Source organism: Homo sapiens, chromosome 1 (assembly GCF_000001405.40).
Source record: "Homo sapiens chromosome 1, GRCh38.p14 Primary Assembly".
In the NCBI taxonomy this organism is placed as follows: Eukaryota; Metazoa; Chordata; class Mammalia; order Primates; family Hominidae; genus Homo; species Homo sapiens.
This window is the reverse complement of record NC_000001.11, coordinates 36,021,778-36,035,841: the sequence shown is the minus strand read 5'-3', so window position 1 is coordinate 36,035,841 and position 14,064 is coordinate 36,021,778. Positions and strand designations below refer to the sequence as shown.

Below are 14,064 nucleotides of genomic sequence, written 5' to 3'. Positions count from 1 at the left end.
CCAGGATGGTCTCGATCTCCTGACCCTGTGATCCACCTGCCTTGGCCTCCCAAAGTGCTGGGATTACAGGCGTGAGCCACCGCACCCGGCCAATCCAAAGTTTTATTCACAGCAGAATTTTATCTAAAATAGTGGTGCTGGTGGTTGAAAAGGGCTGTATTAATATTAACAGATGCTAGTATTCTCCAACATGGGCACAAAATTATAAACTTCCTTATGATCCACAAATTTTTATCACTCTTTAAAAAAAGACTTATATTTTAAACCTATGTAATCTCTCAAGGGAAAAAGGAATCATTACACTTCAGACTGGAAGGGATTTTGGGAATCCACTACTCCCACTCCCTGGCCAAAAGTATAAATTTGAGTAACATATATTCAATGGTCATAAAGGAAGCTAGGACTTCCTTTTATTTTACTTTATGTTATTATTGTTTTTTTGAGACAGGGTCTCACTGTGTTGCCCAGGCTGGAGTGCAGTGGCGTAATCACAGTTCACTGCAGCCTTGACTTCCCTGGGCTCAGGTAATCCTCCCACCTCAGCCTCTGGAGTAGCTGGAACGACAGGCACATGCCACCACACATGGCTAATCTTTCTATTTTTTTGTAGAGATAAAGTTTCACCATGTTGGGCTTGTTGATAAAATTCTTTATTTATCTCATTTACGGATCTCATCTCATATTTAACAGGGGTAGAAAGTAGAGATGGCATGGAAAAACAGGAAAAAAAGGACTTTTGTGTCAAACAAACATGGGCCAATTCTTATTCTAATGTTTATTTGTGGTGTACAGTTAACTTTTTTGAGGCCTAATTGCTTCAACTATTAAAAGGGAACTTGTTCAATTCTCTGAAAAATGACCTCTTCCTCAGTGACTTGCACAATAAGCTACCTCCTGTTTCTAGGTCATGTTGTCTCTTACTTCCTAAGAGCTCCAGCTCTAAGAAGGGTGATCTAACAGTAATGTGTTTTCTCACTGACTATAGCAGGAAGGCTGATATGGCTTACTTAATTGACTAATCTGGGCTCCCAGTTCCTTCTCTCCTTCACATTCCAGGTAGGTGAGTAGTCTCATGAAACCAGGTTGAAGATGATTACCAAATAAAGTGAAAATTCTTCAAGCTGGGCTCTCCAGTGAGAAATAAAGCACTGGATACTTTCTGGCTAGGTAAGAGGTACTTTGCATACTAAATGAAAATTTTTGGGGCTTGAGCCTGCTCCCACCCTCTGGAGTGTACTTTCATTTTCAGTAAATCTCTGCTTTTGTTGCTTTGCTTCATTCTTTCCTTAAAAAATAAGATAAAATAAAATTGTGGGGGGCATTTTCACAAGAGAATCTCTGAACCTTGCCAATCCAAATTATTTTTTTACCAAAATGTCTACGAATCTCCCATAGTAGGAATTATTAAGGGGGTCTCTTACACAGCCCTTATAGTAGTTAGATATGGTCATATATAGACAAATGAAGATATAAAAATAATATTTTCATAAGCGATTAGCATATCTTACCTTTGATGAGGTACAAGAATATTATTGATCCCTCCGAGTTTAACATTTATCTTTAGGCACAAGTTTGACAGAGTTTGAGGAGATGTTTTTATTACATTCTTGACTTGAACACATTGTGTAGCCATACCCAAAAGTGTGTCTCCTACACGTTTCACTTCCGCTATGGAATAGATGCAAAACCTCTAGTCAGAAAAAAAGACCTGAAAATAATTTTACATACTGAAAATAAAGCTACTATGTTTCCCCCTTAAAATCCATCATTGTATTACAGGATACCAAAAATTATGCCAATACAGTACTAAGGCGATGCTGTTAAAATTGAAAGTATACTGCTTTGAAGACTAGCTTAAGTATTTAGTGACAATTTTTCTAGTTGTTTTCTTCTTTGTATAAAAAGGTATATTTTTGCCATAGCATAACTGCAATAACTGAAAAGCATAAAGTGAAACATGCACATAATCCCTTGTTATCGTTTTATAGTACTCTCTTCCAATAATTTTCTCATTTATATTATTTTAATGTACTTGTAATCACAGTACACTTACAGCTTTCAATCCTATTCTCTTATCTTTAATTTAAAAATTCAGAGGTATTATAGCGCAAAGAACAAAAGTCCCCTGTTCCTTTCCTCTCCTCTGCCATTATAACCATCATAAATATTTCGGTGTATATAACTTTTTTTTTTTTTTTTGAGAGGATCTCACTCTGTCACCCAGGCTGGAGTGCAGTGGCATGATCATGCATCACTGTAGTCTCGACCTCCTGAGCTAAAGCGATCCTCTTGCCTCAGCCTCCCAAGTGGCTGGAACTACAGGCATGCACCACCACACCAAGCCTTTTTTTTTTTATTTAAGTAGAGATGAGGGAGGTCTCACCATGGTGCCCAGCCTGGTCTCAAACTCCTAAGCTCAAGTGATCCTCCTGCTCCAGCCTCCCAAAGTGTTGGGATTACAGGCAAGAGCCACTGCACCCAGCCATAACTTCTTTTTTTTTTTTTGAGATGGAGTCACATTCTGTCACCCAGGGTAGAGTGCAGTGGCGCGATCTCAGCTCACTGCAACCTCTGCCTCCTGGGTTCAAGCAGTTCTCCTACCTCAGCCTCCCGAGTAGCTGGGATTACAGGTGTGCACCACCTCACCTAGCTAATTTCTGTATTTTTATTTACTTTTTATTTTTTTTGTTTTTATTTTTTATTTTTGAGATAAGAGTTTCGCTCTTGTTGCCCAGGGCTGGAGTGCAACGGCGCAATCTCGGTTCACTGCAACCTCTGCCTTCTGGGTTCAAGTGATTCTCCTGCCTCAGCCTCTTGAAGTAGCTGGGATTACAGGCACCTGCCACCATGCCCTGATAATTTTTTTTTTTTGTATTTTTAGTAGAGATGGAGTTTCACCACATTGGCCAGGCTGGTCTTGAACTCCTGACCTCAGGTGATCCACCCGCCTTGGCCTCCCAAAGTGCTGGGATTACAGGCATGAGCCACTACGCCCAGCCAATTTCTGTATTTTTAGTAGAGATGGGGTCTTGCCATGTTGGCCACGCTGGTTTTGAACGCCTGACCTCAAGTGATCCACCCGTCTTGGCCTCCCAAAGTGCTGGGATTACAGGTGTGAGCCACTGCACCCAGCATAACTTCTTATATATAAAAAACATAGAAAAATGGGTGCAATGTCTCACACCTGTAATCCCAGCACTTTGGTAGGCTGAGGCGGATTGCTTGAGCCCAGGAGTTAGAGACCAGCTTAGGCAACAAATCAAGACCCCATCCCTGCCAAATTTTTTTTTTAATTAGCCAGGCATGATGGTATGTGCTTTTAGTTCTAGCTACTCAGGAGGCTGAGGCAAGAGGATTGCATGGGCCTAGGAGATGGAGGCTGCAGTGAACTATGATCGTGTCATTGCACTCCAGTCTGGGTGACAGAGTGAGACCTTGCCTTAAAAAAAAGGACAAATGACAATACACATTTCTCTAAAGAAGATAAACAGAAAAATGACCCATAAGCACATGAAAAGATGCCCAACGTCTCTAATCATTTAGGAAAATGCAAAATCAAAGACATTATGAGATACCACTTCACACCCATTAGGATGGCTACTATCAAAAAGCCAGAGAATAACAAACATTGGGGCAAGGATGTGGAGAAACTGGAACTCCTGTGCGCTGTTGGTGGGCATGTAAAATGGTGCAGCCACTGTGGAAAACACTGTGGAGGTTCCTCAGAAAATTAAAAATAGAATTACCATATGATGCAGCAATGACACTTATTAGATGTATACCCAGAATAGCTGAAAACAGGGTTGTGAAGAGATATTTGTACACCTATGTTCATAGCAGCATTACTCATGATAGCTAAAGTGTAGAAGCAACCCAAGTGTCCATCAACAGAAGAATAAACAAGATGTGGTGTATACACACACACACACACCCCCCGCCCCCCCACACACACATATACAAACAATGGAATATTATTTGGCCCAAAAAAGGAAGAAAATTCTGACATATAGTACAACATGGATGAACCTTGAGGATATTATGCCAAAAGCCAAATATTGTAGGACTCATGTACATAAGGAAACTAGAATAGTCAAATTCATGGAAGCGGAAAGTAGAACAGTGCTTTCCAGGGGTTACGTGAGGTTTAATAGGATATTAAAGTTATTGGTTAATGGATAAAGAGTTTCAGTTTGGGATGATGGAAAAAAGTTCTGGAAATGGATAGTGATGATGGCTGCACAACATGTGAATGTTCTTAATGTCAGAATGTAAGAATTCCAGAATGACTTAGTACTTGAAATTATGTGAGTGAATGATTTGCAAGTAAACATTAAATCATTATGTGGCTCAAAAAAAAAAATGAAGGAGAAATAAAGAGTTTCTCAAACAAATAAAAACAGGGTATTTGTTGCTGGTAGAAATGCTTGGCAAGAAATATTAAAAGAATTTTCCAGAGAGAAGGAAAATGATACAGATCAGAAATCATAAATGAAGGAAAAGCAGGGTACAGTGTGGGTCATGCCTGTAGTACCAGCTACTGGGGAGGCTGAGGTGGGTAGAGTACTTGAGCCCAGGAGTTTGGGGCTGCAGTGCACTATGGTCATGCCTGACAATAGCCACTGACCAGCATGGGCAACATAGCAAGACCTGTCTCTAAAAAACAAAACAAAACAAAAGTAAGGAGGAAGGTTGAAGGTCAGCAAATAAATAAAGGTAAAATAAAATCTTGTATTTTCATATTCTTAATTGAGCTAATAGATGATTATTTGTTCAAAATAGTAATAGCAACAGTGTATTGGGTAGTTATAGCTTATGGATAAGTGAAATAAATGACAGAAATATAAGGTACAGAAGGGAAAAATTGGGAGTATTCTGTTACAAGGTATCTCTATACTATCTAAGAAGTGGTATAATGTTACCTAAAAGTAGACTCAGATTAGTTGTAAATATATATTAAAAAGTCTAGGGAAAACACTACAAAAATTTTTAAAGGAAGTCTAACTAATATGTTAAAAGAGAATGAAAAATAGAATTATACAAAATGCTCAATTAAAACCAGGAGGGGCCAGGAGCAGTGGCACATGCCTGTAATCCCAGCATTGGGAGGCTGAGGCGGGAGGATGACTTGAGGCCAGGAGTTCGAGACCAGCCCAGGCATGTTTACAGTTTTGATGAAAAAGGTAATATCAATTTATACTACCATCAGCAACGTATTAATACACTGCATACTCACAAGCACTAGGTATTATAATATTTAAATATGTTTGCTAATTTAGCAGCACAAAATTTTTCCCTTTATTGATTTGTACTTTTCTTCTCTCTTTTTTTTTTTTTTTTGAGAAAGGGTCTCGCTCTGTTGCCCAGGCTGCTGGAGTGCAGTGGCATGATCTTGGCTCACTGCAACCTCCACCTACTGGCTCAAGTGATCTTCCTATCTCAGCCTCCCAAGTAGCTAGGACCACAGATGTGTACTACCATGCCTGGCTAATTTTTCTATTTTTTTGCAGATATGAGGTTTCGCCATGTTGCTCAGACTAGTCTTGAATTCCTGAACTCAAGCAATCTGCCCACCTTGGCTTCTCAAAATGCTGGGATTACAGGCATAAGCCACTGCATCTGGCCTGTATTTTTCTTTAACTATGAATAAAAACAAACTTATCATATATTTACTTGCTTTGTTTTTACTAAATTTCAGTTTATAATCTTTTCTCATTAATCTAAAAAAAGAAGGTTTTTATTTAACTAATAATAAACTATTTGTTTATTGTTTCTATTTGCTACAAATATTTTCCACACTCTATTGGTTTTCTTTTCATTTTAGTACATCCGTGACATGTAGGAAATTTAGGGGCCAGGCGCAGTGGCTCATGCCTGTAATCCCAGCACTTTGGGAGGCTGGGGTGGGCAGATCACCTGAGGTCAGGAGTTTGAGACCACCCTGGCCAACATGGTGAAACCCTGTCTCTACTAAAAATACAAAAATTAGCCAGGCATGGTGGCACGCGCCTATAGACCCAGCTACTAGGGAGGCTGAGGCAGAAGAACAGCTTGAACCTGGGAGGTGGAGGTTGCAGTGAGCTGAGATCATGCCACTGCACTCCAGCCTGGGCAACAGAGGGAGACTCTGTCTCAAAAAAAAAAAAAAGGGCCGGGCATGGTGGCTCACGCCTGTAATCCCAGCACTTTGGGAGGCTGAGGCGGGAGGATCACAAGGTCATGAGATTGAGACCATCCTGGCTAACACGGTGAAACCCTGTCTCTACTAAAAAATACAAAAAAATTAGCTGGACATGGTGGCAGGTGCTTGTAGTCCCAGCTACTCAGGAGGCTGAGGCAGGAGAATGGCGTGAACCCAGGAGGCAGAGCTTGCAGTGAGCCGAGATCGCACCACTGCACTCCAACCTGGGCGACAGAGCGAGACTCTCTCTCAAAAAAAAAAAAAAAAAAAAAGAAAGAAAGAGAAAATTTAATGTTTACTCAGTACTCAGTCAAATCTGACAATTTTCTTTTGTGATTTCTTCTATTATTTCTAAACTTACATGATTTTACCCCGTTCAGTGGTTTGAAAATTATATTTTCTTTGTATTTTTCTACGATTCAATGATTTATATTTAGCTTATTAATCTCACAAAATTTTGTTTATAATAATAACAGTTAACATTGACTGTTTACTATATGACAGGTGCTATTCTAGGCCCTTTACATATTAGACTCAGTTAATCCTTACAACAACCCTATATATGGATTAGGTATTATTAGTATCCCAGGGTATGTGTGCTATATATCAAGGAAGTATAACTGATACACTAAAAGAGGAAAGAAAATAGAATCATATAAAATGCTCAATTAAAACCAGAAAGAGGCTAGGTGCAGTGGCTCACACCTGTAATCCCTGCACTTTGGGAGCCCAAGGTTTAAGGATTGCTTGAGCCCAGGAGTTTGAGACCAACCCGAGAAACATAGTGAGATCCTGTCTCTACAAAAAAATAAATAGACTAGTTCAACCATTGTGGAAGTCAGTGTGGCGACTCCTCAGGGATCTAGAACTAGAAATACCATTTGACCCAGCCATCCCATTACTGGGTATATACCCAAAGGACTATAAATCATGCTGCTATAAAGACACATGCACACGTATGTTTATTGCGGCATTATTCACAATAGCAAAGACTTGGAACCAACCCAAATGTCCAACAATGATAGACTGGATTAAGAAAATGTGGCACATATACACCATGGAATACTACGCAGCCATAAAAAATGATGAGTTCATGTCCTCTGTAGGGACATGGATGAAATTGGAAATCATCATTCTCAGTAAACTATCGCAAGAACAAAAAACCAAACACCGCATATTCTCACTTATAGGTGGGAATTGAACAATGAGAACACATGGACACAGGAAGGGGAACATCACACTCTGGGGACTGTTGTGGGGTGGGGGGGGGGGAGGGATAGCATTGGGAGATACATCTAATGCTAGATAACGAGTTAGTGTGTGCAGCGCACCAGCATGGCACATGTATACACATGTAACTAAACTGCACATTGTGCACATGTACCCTAAAACTTAAAGTATAATAAAAATAAATAAATAAATAAATACAAACAAAAAAAATAAAAAAATAAAAAATTAGTCCAGTGTGGTGGCACATGCCTGTAGTTCCAGCTACTTGGGAGGCCGAGAAAGGAGGATTGCTTGAGCCCAAGAGGTCAAGGCTGCAGTAAGCCATGATTGCACCACTGCACTCCAGCCTGAAAGAGTGAGAGAGATCCTATCCCATACATACACACCACATACATACATAAATATTGTCCCAATTCCAGAGATGAGGAAACTAAGGGCTAGTGTGATTAAGTAATTCAGCCAAATCACACAGGTAGTAGAACCGGCAGTACCTGAATATTGAGCAACACAGTTTAATTTGATAGCCTGTGCTTTTAACCACTACATTATACTGATACTCAAATTATCTCAATGCCATTTTTATTCAATAATTCTTTCTTTAGCCATTGTTATGTAATGCCTCTTTTCACTACTGAAACCCTTTTTTTTTTTTTTTGAGACGGACTTTCGCTCTGTCGCCCAGGCTGGAGTGCACCGGTGCGATCTCGGCTCACTGCAAGCTCCACCTCCTGGGTTCACGCCATTCTCCTGCCTCAGCCTCCTGAGTGGCTGGGACCACAGGCGCCCACCACCACGCCCAGCTAATTTTTTGTATTTTTAGTAGAGATGGGGTTTCACCACATTGGCCAGGCTGGTCTCGAACTCCTGACCTCAGGTGATCCACCCGCCTCGGCCTCCCAAAGTGCTGGGATTACAGGCGTGAGCCACCACGCCCAGCCCGGAAACTCTTTTTACAATGTCTCATCTTGGACTATTTAGTTTGCTATATTAATTTGTCTTCAAGTAATAATACATGGTTTTAAATACTGTATCATAAAATATATTTTAATATTTGAAAGTTTTAGGATATGTTTCAGTATAATCCTAAAAGGACATCAAGTACTTGAGGAAAAATGCAGTCTTAAGATATCCTTACCATACACTGGTGTCTTCCCCGGCAGGATGACGATAATAAGCTGTAGGCCAGAATATGTGTTCTTGAGATGCCGGAACATGGGCTCTACGCTGTCTGCCCCCTGTGCATATTTGCAGAAGCATGGCTGGCCCTGGATGGGCATCCCTGCATCCTTAGAAATCTTACGCAGCTGGTCTGTGAAACCCCTGGAAGGAGAAACCACTAAATATAAAACCTTTGTCTAGTCATGAATTCCTACAAAGTAGTAATGGGAAGTTTGGGAAGGGAATGGAAGGATGAAGCAAAGATTTGTGTGCTTCATATATGAGAGGTCACCAGACTACTGATGTTAAGCGTAATGGTCTGTCAGTAATCCATTTTGCAAATGAAGAACATTCTATACAGTTATACGGCATTCTGTAGTTTACAAGGAGCATTACTAATAGTATATGCTGGTTAAGAGCTCAGCTCTAGAGTTAGTATGGAGAGTTCCATTCCCAGTTCTGCTACATACTACTATGAAATTTTAGGCACTTACTTCAGTTTTCCTCATCTGTAAAAGGATTGCTTCAACTATAGGGTTGGTGTGAAGATTAAATGAGATCATATATGTAAAGCACTTAGCACACCATCCAGGACCATGGTAAAAACTTGATACATTTTAGCTATTGTTTATTTTCTAATTTGATCTCACAAGATTCATAAGAAAGAGGCACGGCAGGTATTATTCCTGTTTTACAGATCAGAAAATAGTTTCATAGACATTACATATTTGGCCAAAGTTCAAATGATTAGACAAATGGTAGAGCCAGAATTTCTATAGTATTACCTATCTCACACTAGGATAGCAGGAAAGATTATGCCCTCAGAGGATTTTTTTAAAATATAAAAACAAAATTTAAAAACAGATGAGGCTGGGTGCAGTGCCTCACACCTATAATCCCAGCAATTTGGGAGGCTGAGGCAGGAGGATCACTTGAGGTCAGGAGTTCGAGACCAGCTTGGCCAACATGGCGAAAACCCATATCTACTAAAAATACGAAACTAGTCTGGTGTGGTGGCAGGCACCTGTAGTCCCTGCTCCTTGGGAGGCTGAGGCAGGAGAATCACTTGAATCTGGGAAGCGGAGGTTGCAGTGAGCTAAGATTATGCCACTGCACTCCAGCCTAGGTGACAGAGTGAGACTCTTGTCTCCAAATAAACAGATGAGGCAGGCAGCATTTTAATGTACTTTGATTTACACTGAAAAACCCCCAAAACCAATTTCTTTTTTTTTTTTGAGGTGGAGTCTCACTCTGTTGCCCAGGCTGGAGTGCAGTGATACAATCACAACTCACTCCTGCAGCCTCAACTTCCCAGGCTCAAATGATCTTCCCACCTGAGCTTCCCAAGTAGCTGGGATTATAGGCATGTGCCACCGCGCCTGGCTAATTTTTGTATTTTTAGTAGAGATGGGGTTTCACCATGTTGGTCAGGCTGGTCTTGAACTCCTGACCTCAGGCCATCCACCCACCTCGGCCTCCCAAAGTGCTGGGATTACAGGCATGAGCCACTGCTCCCGGCCACCAATTTCATATTTATAGAAAATTTTGAATTCAGTATAAATAAGCAATAATGAGCAACAATCGCTTCACTGGTTTTTTAAAACAATTGAGGTCCTAAGTCAAGGATCTGAGTGATCTTTGCCCAAAACACTCTGATTCCTTCAGGATAGAGATGAAGTTTCTCCTATTCCTTATCGGTGCTTAATTAAAGAAGTATGAAATTGAGTATTTTCACTTAGCCTAACAAGAGCCACAAGCCCAATGATTCTGAGACATCTATTCAAGCTGCGAATAACAAATATAAAATGAAAAATAAAAAAGCTCAAGTTTGAAAAACATTGGAAATGGTTTTGTTTTTTTTTTTTTTTGGCCTTTCAAGGCCAAATAAGATAATCATAGCATTGTAATAAGCCATCCTTGTGACATTTCACTTGAAAGCAGGGGGATAAAAACTCTGGAGGAAAAAAATACATTAAGTGATCATTAAAGCATCCATTTAGAGATTTGGGATTAATAAAAAGGGATGAACAGAATTAAATAGAAAAAAATTTTATTTCTCATATTCTAATTTCTTCTTGCCATGAAGAAGGCAAGGCAAATTCTGAAATGGCCTGAGGTAAACTGGTCTCTGTATCACTCAAGAATGTTTCATTGTTGACATACTTTATATAAGTAGAGATTTAAATTAGATAAGGATCATTTCTTCAAGAAAATTAGATTCCAGAGGGATGATACATTTACAAAATCATTATAATACAATTGTATTTTGCACAAAAACTGACAAGCACAAATAGAGAGGATACTGATGGGTAGAGATAGGAAGGAGGCATTCTCAGTAAAGGGCAGCATGAGTGGAAACAGGTTAAAAAGGCCAGGGAGATAGAAGGAATACGATGCTTCAGTTTCTTTGGCCAGAATATATGAAAATGGAGTAATGATAAAGGACTTAAGAGACTGGTGAAAGATATGAAATGTCATACTGATTTTACGCTTGAACCTGGGAGGCAGAGGTTGCAGTGAGCCGAGATCACGCCATTGCACTCCAGCCTGGATGACAGAGTGAGACTCTGTCTCAATAAAATAAAGAAATAAATGTCATACTAATTTTGAATGTCACTCTTAGTCAAAGAGAAGACTAAACATTTCAGAGTAGCTTTCGTCACAAATAGAGGTGGTGTTCTTTCATGACAGCCGAATTTCTCAAACAAGCGTGACAGCAGAAACCCCTGAGACTGTGTCAGAATCCCAAAGGAGAGCAGATAGATAATGAAAAGGAAAAGAAGCCAGAAAACGTAAACTAAAGAACCAGAAGGCAAGAGAGGAGGATGTCAAGAAGGTCGGCAGAGTGCGGTGGCTCACACCTATGATCCCAGCACTTTGGGAGGCCAAGGCAGGAGGACTGCTTAAGTCCAGGAGTTCGAGACCAGTCTAGGCAACATAGTGAGATCCTATCTATACAAAAAAACAAAATTAGCTGGGCATGGTGGCATATGCCTGTAGTCCCAGCTGCTTAGGAAGCTCAGGTGGGAGGATCGTTTGAGCCTGGGAAGTTAAGGCTGCGGTGAGTTGTGATTGTATCACTGCACTCCAGCCTGGGCAACAGAGTGAGATCCCATCTCAAAAAAAAAAAAAAAAAAAAGGAGTCAGTCAAATTTTGAGAAAAATAATGGCTAAGAAGAGACCATTGAACTTGCTAAGCATAAAGGTACAGGAAATCTTCCAGGAACCAGTTTTAGCAGAGCACTATGATTTCAAGGGAGGGGAGAGAATGGAGGTCTGGAAGCCTAAGAGATTGTTAGGTAATGTGAAAATTGCTGATTAAAAAGAAACTGAACTGAAGATTTTTGCACACTTAGAAGTTGAAGGACAGAATCTGAAGAAGAGAGAAAAAGTGGTGGAGATGAAAGGCAAATTTTGGAAAGTAAGGAAACTGAAACAAGGAGTTTAACCACTCCTTCAACATCCTCAACAGAAAAATAAGGATCTTAGTTAATCCTCACCTGGTAGGTAGTGTTACATTAAGTTTCACCTAAAGCTGTCTCGTTACATTTTTAAAGTTTGGCCTAAAGGTTTCTCTGTACATAGTGAATGGTAATCTCCGGACGTGTAAACAAGCTGTAACCTATTCTTGTACCAATTGCTGAGTTTCAGCCAATAAAATGCAGCCAACTGTTGAAACCATGTTCAAATAAGGCAAGTATCAAGCTGTAAGCAATCCAGCTGTTTCTGTACTTCAGTTTCATTTTCTGTACATCACTTTCCTTTTTCTGTACATAAGTCTTCAACCATGTGGTAGTGCCAGAGTCTCTTTGAACCTATTCTGGTTCTAAGGGCTGCCTGATTTGTGAATCACTGTTTCCTCAATTAAACTCTGTTAAATTTAATTTGTCTAGTTTTTCTTTTAACAGATGGTGTCAGAAGTGGGATCCGAAGTAGAACCTCTAGCAATCCCCAGAAGCACTGAGTGACGAAGCATGGTACCAGTCAGACTCTCTGTGTCCATTCCTCTCTTGCAGCAACTGGGGATTGTGGGTAAGCTCTCAGATTCTGAAGCTCCATGGATTTGTGTTTTGAGTTATCTGAATTTGTTTGAGCAAATTTTAAAATCTGAAATGGGTTCAGAAGTCATGACAGAAACTGGACCAGGTCCAGAATCAGACTGGATCTGATAATTAACTGACTTGGATTCAGTTAGAGGCCTTGGATGTTTAACTGAGTCAGGAAGAAACTGGCAGTTAATGGCAAATAAGAAGGTGTGAACTTTGGCTTTTGGAAATTCACAGAGATTTTTGTGCTCTATGTCTATGCCCTTTGTTTCTCTTTTTTTTTTGTTTTTTTTTTTGTTTTTTTTTTTGAGACGGAGTCTCACTGTTGTTGCCTGGGCTGAAGTGCAATGGAGCGATCAAACCTCTGCTTCCCAGGTTCCAGCAATTCTCCTGACTCTGCCTCCCGAGTAGCTGAGATTACAGGTGTCCACCACCAGGCCCGGCTAATTTTTGTATTTTTAGTAGAGATGGGGTTTCACCATGTTGGCCAGGCTGGTCTCGAACTCCTGACCTCAGGTAATCCACCCGCCTCGGCCTCCCAAAGTGCTGGGATTACAGTCGTGAGCCACTGCGCCCAGCCTATGCCCTTTGTTTCTTTTTCTTGTGTGTTTAGGCATGGAAAAATCATTGGATGATCAATGGGATCTGACAGCCAAAGCCAAGATTCAAGGGAAAATGGGATCCTTAATTTCTGAAGAACTGAGTATTCTACCTTACAGCTATGCCTAGCTATACACTCATAAATGTTAGGACCCTAAAGCAGCAAACACTTACTGAAATGGTGAAATCTCACTTTATGTAATTTAAAATTATAGTAGAACATTCAAAATGAATAATACTGCACTTTAAGAAGTCTATTTACAAATGAGGGCTCTAGGTTCATGCCTATAATCCTAGTACTTTGGGTGGCCGAAGCAGGAGGATCACTTGAGTCCAGGAGTTTGAAACTAGCCTGGGCAACATAGTGAGATTTTGTCTCTACAAAAAAAGAAAAAAAGTTAGCAGAGCATAGTGGCAAGTCCCTGTGGTCCCAGCCACTTGGGAGGCTGACATAGGAGGATCACTTAAGCCTGAGAGGCTGAGGCGCAGTGAGCCATGGTCACGCCACTGCACTCCAGCCTGGGCAAAAGAGTGAGGCCCTATGTCAAAAAAAAAAAAAAAAAAAAAGGCCCCCAACTTAGTTTCATCCAAGGATGCGGATGCCTATTAATGTGCAGAAGCTTCTAATAAGATTTCAATATTTTTATTCCCTCTTTTAAAAGATTTTCTATAAAAGGCAAATAAAAAGCTTCAGTAACAGCAAAATATTTTTGTTCACCTTTTGAGTAAACTGCACAAAAAAAAAGAGAGAGGAAAGAAGGAGAGATAGATTCTGTATCATATTGTCTTTTTCAGGTCTGTTGACTAGAAAATTGAGTCTCCTCTCTATCAAATAATAAAGGTTTTGCTTTT

The 14,064-nt window shown here is 40.2% G+C and overlaps 1 protein-coding gene across 9 annotated transcripts in view, besides 2 other annotated features; it reads right to left on the bottom strand.

Annotated features, from left to right (window-relative positions):
* The window catches only part of AGO3 (argonaute RISC catalytic component 3), a 141,783-nt gene that overhangs the window by 36,659 nt on the left and 91,060 nt on the right, over positions 1-14,064 (bottom strand). For all 9 annotated transcript variants that reach the window (XM_017000523.3, XM_005270575.5, NM_024852.4 and 6 more), the window contains 2 exons: positions 8,544-8,728; positions 1,509-1,668 (listed from right to left, as the gene is read on the bottom strand). In XM_017000523.3, coding sequence (XP_016856012.1) covers positions 1,509-1,668; positions 8,544-8,728 — 345 coding nt within the window. The remainder of the gene's footprint in view (positions 1-1,508; positions 1,669-8,543; positions 8,729-14,064) is intronic.
* Positions 350-1,549: an enhancer, noted in NCBI's record as "MED14-independent group 3 enhancer chr1:36499894-36501093 (GRCh37/hg19 assembly coordinates)". NCBI's record gives its function as "activates an origin of replication core promoter dependent on BRD2, BRD4, P300/CBP and CDK7 cofactors, and independent of MED14, by STARR-seq in HCT116 cells {active_cell/tissue: HCT116}" and the evidence as "EXISTENCE:reporter gene assay evidence [ECO:0000049][PMID:35650434]".
* Positions 12,212-12,641: an enhancer, noted in NCBI's record as "active region_741". NCBI's record gives its function as "activates an Ori minimal core promoter by ATAC-STARR-seq in GM12878 lymphoblastoid cells {active_cell/tissue: GM12878}" and the evidence as "EXISTENCE:reporter gene assay evidence [ECO:0000049][PMID:35858748]".